This window comes from Homo sapiens, chromosome 15, assembly GCF_000001405.40.
Source record: "Homo sapiens chromosome 15, GRCh38.p14 Primary Assembly".
NCBI classification, from domain to species: Eukaryota; Metazoa; Chordata; class Mammalia; order Primates; family Hominidae; genus Homo; species Homo sapiens.
In genome coordinates, this window is record NC_000015.10 from 72,573,710 (window position 1) to 72,582,940 (window position 9,231).

Consider the following 9,231-nt stretch of genomic DNA (forward strand, 5'->3'; position numbering starts at 1 on the left):
AATATGTATAAACAAAAACCAGCTATAAATTCTTGTGCTCTTGCACAATTCTACAGCCAAACCAAGAGAGCCACAAAATCAGTGAAACTCAAGTAAATGTTAATTTGGTAGATACTGTTGTTGGGGTTTTAAAAATGTATTATTACTGTACTGTTAAATATCATGAGATAACTTGTTCTCCCACCAATTTTCTTTTCTTTCTTAAATGATGTCCCTTAAGTCATATCCCACTAACTTTCTATATATTTCTATATTTCCAACATTAATTTTTATGATGCATTACTTGATTTGCCCAGAATGTATTATGGATATATGTTCTTATCACCTTTTTTTCTCCATTAACCTGATGTATTTATTTAGCCAGATATGCTGTTTATCAACAAAGAAAATATATGTGGTTTATCCTTGACCTCACCTGGTCTTTATTTGGATGCCGGTAGAATCCCTTTCTGAGATCTATAGGGAGGGTGGGTTATGTGCATAGCTTTTGAGCCAGAGTCTAATGTTTAGATTCTAGATACTAAAATAGATTATTTTTCTGTTTCACATCTGTTGGACTAAACTAGAATCTTCTATAACTGTGGGAGTACAAAGAAAGATTTCCTATCACTCCATTGGTTGTTTGGTTGATTGACTAATTGATTGGGAGCCACGCCTCCCTGAAAGGATCACACCATTGCATGCCTATCTGGCCTCCTCATCTTTCCCCACTCCCAAGCTCTTGGCCTAGCATTTACTGGGAGTTGTAGTCTGAAAAATTACTAGAAGGTTGACACATATTCAAAAGATCCTTGATGGTACCTTGACTGCCCTGCAAAAGATGTACCTGTGTTATAGAAAATTGTTGACTCATTATATTGTACCACAGTGCCGACAGTTGTGGATATTTGAATCTTCTTGTCCTCTAGACTAGGGTCAGCAAACTTTTTCTGTGAAGAATCAGATGGTGTATATTTTTAGCTTTGCGTACTACATAATCTCTGTTGTGACGGCTCAACTCTGCCTCTGCCCTTATAATGCAAAAGCAGCCATAGACTTAAATGAGTAGGTATAACTGTTCCAAGTAAATTTTATTTACTGGCTGGGCATGATGGCTCAAACCTGTAATGTTAGTGCTTTGGGAGGCCAAGGCCAAGGATCACTTGAGGCCAGGAGTTCAAGACCAGCCTGAGCAACATAGTAAGACCCCCCCGCCGCCCCCGCCCATCTCTACAAAAAAAAAACAAAGAAGGTTTTTAAATTAGCCATGCATGTTGGTGTGTGCCTATAGTCTCAGCTATTTGGGAGCTGAGGTGGGAGGATTGCTTGAGCTCAGGAGTTCCAGGCTGCAGTGAGCCATGATGACGCCACCCCTCTTTAGCCTGGATGGCAGAGACCCTATCTCAGAACAAAAAAACAACAAAGAAAGCAAAACAGTTTTATTTACAAAGACAGGTGGCAGCTGGATTTGTCATGCAGGCCAGAGTTTGTATACCCCTGTTCTAAGCAGTCAAGTTTGTTGTCTTTTCCACGCTCCCCAAACTGCTTTCAGGTCGCTGATTACATTTCTCATTCCAGATTCTGGCATTTGATTGGAGAATTTGTCTTGATCAGGCTCAGTGGCTCACGCCTGCAATCCTAGCACTTTGGGATGCTGAGGCGAGAGGATTGAGTGCGGGAGTTTGAGATCAGACTGGGCAACAACTGAGACCCTGTCTCTACAAAAAATTTATTAAAAATTAGCCAGGTATGGTAGTGCACGCTGGCTGAGGTGGGAGGATCACTTGAGCCTGGGAAGACTTCAGTGAGCCATGGTTGTGCCACTGCACTCTAGCTCAAGCAACAGAGCAAGACCCTGTCTCCAAAAAAAAAAAAAAAAAAAAAAAAAGTCTTATTAGCAGTGATGGTATGGGTGTTCTTTTTTCATGTTGAATTTTAGTGAGAAGCAGTTTCAGAATTCTTAGATTAAGTCAAGTCCCATAACATCATACATGTCAATATGGTAAGGGAGGGTTTTCATTTCATTTGGGGAACTTGACAGGCTTGGAAATATTAGTACTTTAGGGGAAGATAAAATGCCAAGCAGATTTTCCACATATTTTCAGATTGGCATAATTTTCCTGTTCATAAGCATTGGTTTGATACTTACCTGACTCTTGAAATAACATGGCTGTGGTTTTGTTGTTTTTTCATTGAGATGAGGGTCTCGCAGTGGCATGATCATAGCTCACTGTAGCCTTGAACTCCTGGGCCCAAGTGGTCCTCCTGCCTCAACCTCTGCATTAGCTGGAACTAGAGGCAGCTTGAGGTGTGCACCACCGCGCCCAACTTGTGTTGGTTTTTTGAAGTGTTTCGTTGTATAATGCTGGATCATGTGGTTAGCTAATTATGTGGCTCAGAATTAGTATTTCTAAGCAAGGGACCAACCATAGGGCCAAGTAGTATCTGTTATGTAGGCTTTAAAACATGGGGAGAGAAAGAGGAGGTAAGGATAAAGGAAAAGAACATACGTGTGTTAGGAACCCCTTTGATAGGGGCCGGGCGCGGTGGCTCATGCCTGTAATCCCAGCACTTTGGGAGGCCGAGGCGGGCGGATCACAAGGTCAGGAGATGGAGACCATCCTGGCTAACACAGTGAAACCCCATCTCTACTAAAAATACAAAAAAATTAGCTGGGCGTGGTGGCGGGCACCTGTAGTCCCACCTACTCCAGAGGCTGAGGCAGGAGAATGGCATGAACCCGGGAGGTGGAGCTTGTGGTGAGCCGAGATTGTGCCACTGCACTCCAGCCTGGGTGACAGAGCAAGACTCTGTCTCAAAAAAAAAAAAAAAAAAAAAAAAACCCTTTGATAGTGGTTGCATTTAGTAAGCATTTATTAATGGTTTTCTGCAAATCAGGTATTGGAAATACTTTATCTTTTTAAAAGTCCATTCCCTCTAGAGATTTATGGTATAATGGTAGAGGCCTCATATGAATAATTATATATTATAATGTAATAATACAAAACAAATCTAAACTAGATACATTGTTGCTTTGATAACAATATACTTTACATATCTCTAAAGACAGACTCTCTTTACATAACTGTAATACCATTACAGTTGACTCTTGAACAATTCAGGGGTTAGGGACACTAACCCGCCCTACCTCCGCAATGGAAAATCCACATACCACTTTTGATTTTCCCAAAACTTACCTGTTTTAATAGCCTACTGATGACCAGAAGCCTTACCGATAACATAGTCAATTAACACATATTTTGTATGTTACATGTTTTATTATACTGTGTGCTTTTTTTTTTTTCTTTTTTTGAGACGGAGTTTGCTCTTGTTACTCAGGCTGGAGTGCCAGTGGCAGGTCTCAGCTCCCTGCAACCTCCACCTCCCGAATTCAAGCGATTCTCCTGCCTCAGCCTCCCAAGTAGTTGGGATTACAGACATGCGCCACCATGCCTGGCTAATTTTTTTGTATTTTTAGTAGAGACGGGATTTCATCATGTTGGTCAGGCTGGTCTTGAACTCCTGACCTCAGGTGATCCACCCACCTCAGCCTCCCATAATGCTGGGATTACAGGCGTGAGCCACTCACTGTGCCTGGCATATACTGTGTTCTTAACAATGAAGTATGCTAGGAAAAAAGTTATTTTAAAAAATTGTGAAGAAGAGAAAATGTGTTTACTTTTTATTAAGTAGAAGTGGATCAGCCGGGCCCAGTGGCTCACGCCTGTAATCTCAGCACTTTGGGAAGCTGAGGTGGGCAGATTGCCTGAGGTTGGGAGTTTGAGACCAGCCTGGCCAACATGGTGAAACCCTATCTCTACTAAAAATACAAAAATTAGCTGGGCGTGGTAGCAGGCGCCTGTAATCCGAGCTACTTGGGAAGATAAGGCAGGAGAATCACTTGAACCCTGGAGGTGGAGGTCGTGGAGAGCCGAGATCGCACCATTGCACTCTAGCCTGTGCGACAGAGTGAGACTCCATCTCAAAACAAAAAACAAACAAACAAAAAAACGGATCATCATAAAGGTCTTCAAGTTGAGTAGGCTGAGGAGGAAAGAAAATACAGGAGGGCTTGGTTTTGCTATATCTCAGGTGGCAGAGGTAGAGGAAGTCGAATGGGATTCAGGAGATGCAGGCACACTTGGTGTAACTTTACAGGAAAACCTTACGAACCGTTTTGCATTTTCATTTCTCTAAAAATGTTTCTGTATAGTAACAATCCTCTTTCCATTTGCTTTAGTTTCAGTGCTGGTATAATAGAAGGGTCCATTCATAAAGGAAGTCCAAAGCAGTCTTAAGTAATCAGAACCCTTCTGCCAAATTGTCTAATGTCAATTTATTTTCTGGCACTGCTTCTTTAGTGTCTTCTTCCTCATCATCTGGCACTGGTTTGGAAGCAGCTCATCTCCATCAAGTGGTCTTTTAATTCCTCTGGTGTGGTGTCTGTTAGCTAACCCTTCACCTTCCACGTTTTCTTTGCCATATCCACAGTCTCTTTCGTGATTTCCTTGATGGGCTCTGTTGTAGATACTGCGAAGTCACGCGCAACATCTGGACACAGTTTTCTCTACCAGGAGTTTATTGTTTCAGTCTTGATGATGCCATGGTTTTTTCTATAACAACGATGACATCTTCAGTGGTGCTCTCCTTCCAGACTTCCATGATGTTCTGTGGGGGTTCTCTTCGATAGCATTGACAGTCCCTTCCAGAGTACCGTGTGCATCTTTACGTTTGTTTACATTTCTCTCAATGTGAATGGTACCATATACGGTCTGTAAGAGTTTGTGTGCATAAGTTTTGATAAATCTCAACTTTTTATTAATAGATTTATGTATATTTTATCGTAGTAAATCATAAGATAGGCTACATATGTCTTATGCATTCATGACAACTCTTTTTCTTAATTTTGGTTTGTCCGCAAGTGTTTTCAAATTGTTGGCAAACCTCCAAAAAATATTTCAATATATTTATTGAAAAAAATCCACATATAAAGTAGACTTACAGTTTAATCCTGTGTTGTTCAAGGGTCAACTGTATATGTTTTAAAGCAATACTCTGTTGGTATCAACTATCTATTGTTCAAATATCCCCAATTATCTTAAATTTTGCTTTTTTTTGTTTTTTGGTGTTTTGTTTTTTTTTTTCAGAGGTAGAGTCTCGTTCTCTCCCCAAGGCTGGAGTGCAGTGGTGCAACTCGGCAATTCTCCTGCCTCAGCCTCCCAAGTAGATGGGATTACAGGCACATGCCACCACGCCCAGCTAATTTTTTGTATTTTAGTAGATACAGGGTTTCACTGTGTTGCCCAGGCTGGCTCAAACTCCTGAGCTCAGGCAATCCACCCGCCTCAGCCTCCCAAAGTGCTAGGATTACAGGCATGAGCCACCACACCCAGCCTATCTTAAATTTTCTTTTATAGTTGGTTCAAATTGGGATCCACATAGGTCCACAAATTGGATTTAATTGATATCTCTTGAGTCTCCTCTACCTGTTGTTCCTTCTCTTCCCCCCTCCTTGCTTTTTTTTCTTTGTTGAAGAAACTAGATCGTGTTGTCCTGTAGAGTTTCCCACATTATGGATTTTGCTGGTTGCAACTGCATGGTGTCATTTAATAGGTTCTTCTATCCCTGCATTTTCTGCACTGGTGATTAATTCAAGAAACTTGATCAAATTCAGATTCAGTGGTTGGGGGGGGAGCCCAGAATACTTAATTGATTATACTTTCTATTGTATTATATCAGGAGTTACATGGTATGTAGTTGCCACTGTAGTTTTCTACTTAAAAATATCTCTGCTTTTTGCTTGTTTTACATCTTGTGGCATACTGTAGAACAGTGCCATCCAGTAGAACATTTTTGTAATGATGTAAATGTTCTTTATCACCAGTGTCTAATTTGGTAGTCACTAAGCACATGTGACTATTGAGCGATGAGGAACTGAATTTTTAGTTTCTTAAATTGAATTTTAAGTAGTCAGGTGTGGCTTGTGGCTACTGTATTGGAAAGTACAATTAATAGGACATTTTTCAAGAGTATTAAATAACAAAAGTAGCAGTAGATGTCTATTCCTGATTTTAGCCTAGATCACAGTACTGTTTCATCAGTAAATCAGCTTTTTAAATTATTAATATTTTTAATGGACAAATCATAATTATACACATTTATGGAGTACAGTGGAATGTTTTGAAATATGTAAACAATGCAATGATTAAATCAAACTAATTGTTGTATTGCCTTGCCTTAACATTTTTATGGTGAGACATTTGAAATGATACTTATTTTGAAATATATATTATTATTGACTATATTCACCCTGTTGTGCAATAAATCTCAAAACTTACTCATCCAGTCTATCTGAAACTTTGTACTCTTTGGTCACCAACTCCCCATTCCCTCCCTTCCTACCCCTCTATCCCCGCAAGCCTCTGGTAACCGTCATTATACTCTGTATGTCTGTGAGTTCAACTTTTTTAGTTTCTACATATAAGCGAGATCATGTAGTATTTCTTTTCTGTGCCTGGCTTATTTCACTTAGTGTAATGTCCTCCAGGTTCATCCATGTTGTCACAACAGAATTCCTTTTTTGAGGCTGAGTACTCGTGTGTGTGTGTACATACATGACGTTTTCTTTCTGTGTTCATCCATTGATGGACACTTTACATGGATTCCATGTCTTGGCTATTGTGAATAATGCTGTAGTGAATGTGAGAGTACAGAGATACCTTTGACATACTGATTTCAATTCCTTTTCATATATACACAGTAGTGGGATTGCTGGATTCTGTGGTGGTTTTGTTTTCAGTTTTTTAAGGAACCTCCCCATACCATTTTCCATAATGGCTATACTAATTTACATTCCCATCAACAGTGTATCAAGAGTCTCCTTCTTTCTTTATCTTTGCCAAGACTTATCTTTCATCTTTTTGATAAAAACCATTCTAACAGGTGTGAAGTGAGACTTCATTATGGTTTTAATTTGATAATCAGCTTTTATGTACAGTTTATGTGTTATAATTATATCACCCAATTTTTCTTAATGGGACAGCGATCTAGGGCAGCCCTGCAGAGGTACCTGTTCTACTGTAATCGCTATATGAACCACATGCAGAGCCTGCGCTTTGAGCACAAACTATATGCTCAGGTGAAACAGAAAATGGAGGAGATGCAGCAGCACAACATGTCCTGGATTGAGGTGCAGTTCCTGAAGAAGGCAGTTGATGTCCTCTGCCAGTGTCGTGCCACACTCATGTACACTTATGTCTTCGCTTTCTACCTCAAAAAGAATAACCAGTCCATTATCTTTGAGGTAGGAGTAGTTCTGGGTGAGGAAAAAGCCCACCTTGTATCATAGGTCTACCTGATCTTTCATATATAAGATACAGAGTTTTCAGGGTTCTTGTTTGTTCAGAACATGTAGGTAGACGAATGTATTTATTACAAAGATACAAGAAATTTCTATTTCTTGTCCTAAATTATATTCAGATCGATGTGGTTTAGCCAGCTAGTGATTAGGTATGCAGGTTCTGGAGTCAGCCCTAGATTTTAATCTTTACTTCATTATGTTTTAGCTCTGTTGATTTGGAGCAAATTCCTTAACCTCTTATTTGTCCATTTTAAAGTGAGGATAGTACCTTTCTAGGTTGTTATGAGGTTTAAGTGAGACAATTTGTGTTTTATGTGAGACAATTTGTGTTAATTGCTATACGGCACCTGGAACATCATAAGTTCTCAATAAAAGCCTTTATTCAGGCTAAACTAACCCTGCAATATTAGAAGTTAATGTGGTGGTTATCTTTAGTGGAGAAATAATGACTAAAAAGCCAGCTTTTAGCAGTAAAGGTTTTCTCAAGTAAAGATGTTCATTTAAAATTGATGCATAAAACATTGATATCTGTATATGACTAGACAATAAGACTGACTAGCAGATGGGACTTCAGTTGGGTAACAGGTACAAAACTAGCCATAGTGGTAAAGGATGATACAATTTGAATCTTCCATACAGTGTTTTCTTATAAGAAATAAGTATAGCCAGATGTAAGCAATAATAGGTTTCTATTTTTTCTCATTTACCTTTGAGTTTTCAGCAAAGAGCAGCTCTCAGAACGAGAAGATTCCAAAAGACATTTTAAATCCTTTCAAATGGTCTTCAGTATTCTTCCAAAAGTAATGGGTGAAATCTTTCGTTCTTTTAACATTTAAAAAATTGTTCTGGAAAAGAACAAACAAGTTATTAGAGATGAAAGCCCATAGAGCTTTACAGGTGCAGTTAAACCACCTATGAAAGTTACAGAATGAGTGTTGAGAGCAGTCTGTAGTCAACAAAACAGTGAAAATGGTTTATCTTTTAGCTTTATTTTGAAGCCAAAATTTACTTTCATTCTTCTTACAGAATAACCAAGCAGATCTAGAGAATGCCACAGAGGTGCTCTCGGGCTACCTTGAACGAGATATTTCCCAAGATTCTCTGCAGGATATAAAGCAGAAAGTACAAGACAAGTACAGGTAATTTTTTTTTAAGCTGTTGAATAAAACTTTCTGCCAGTGATGATCCTTACTGGTAAAGTTCAGTGATAGTGAAACTGGGTTTAGCATATCCAGCAACTGAGCTTTTGCCATGTTTCTCACAGATTGCTTCTGTCCGTTGGGCACTAAATTGCAGGTAATAGTATTGGTGAAGCATACATAGAGAAGGAATTCAGCCATTTATTCTATTGGCTAATTCCACTTCTGTTCAGTTATTTAGTTGCTACCTTGCAAGGAAGAAAGAATCCAAAAAGGCCAAGTGGCCTTTAGGATGAGAGTGAGAATTGAATGTTGGTCTTAGCCTGAGAATCCTATGTATGGGTCATGGCTATTCACAAATGAGCTATGGAAACTTACTTTTTAGAGTTTTTATTACATATATATATATATATTTTTTTAATCTAAGGAGATACTTGTCCTAGGAGTCGATTTTTCAAGATGTGCCGCCTCTTAAGCTAGAGATGCAAAATGTTTTATTTCTCAACATGAAGCTCTTTCTCCCAAAGTGACAAATGCTAGTGTCTTTTGAAAGTTGTAGGAAACTTGGGGAGTTTGGAAGACTTGGAGATTTAGTCCTAACCAATATCTTCCCTTCCCTTAGCCAATTTTAGCTACCATATTTTGTTTACAGTACTTTTACAGTTGACAGAGATTTTAAGGACGTGAATAAAGAACCCATGAAATTATTTCTGAACCTGTTTATCTGCAGAACTGTGGGATTGAATTATGATT

General features: G+C 39.1%; 1 protein-coding gene across 1 annotated transcript in view; it reads left to right on the forward strand.

Annotated features, from left to right (window-relative positions):
- Positions 1-9,231, forward strand: part of ARIH1 (ariadne RBR E3 ubiquitin protein ligase 1) — a 128,658-nt gene that overhangs the window by 99,380 nt on the left and 20,047 nt on the right. The window contains exons 12-13 of the mRNA NM_005744.5: positions 7,022-7,282; positions 8,366-8,478. Of these exons, the coding sequence (NP_005735.2) occupies positions 7,022-7,282; positions 8,366-8,478 (374 nt within the window). The remainder of the gene's footprint in view (positions 1-7,021; positions 7,283-8,365; positions 8,479-9,231) is intronic.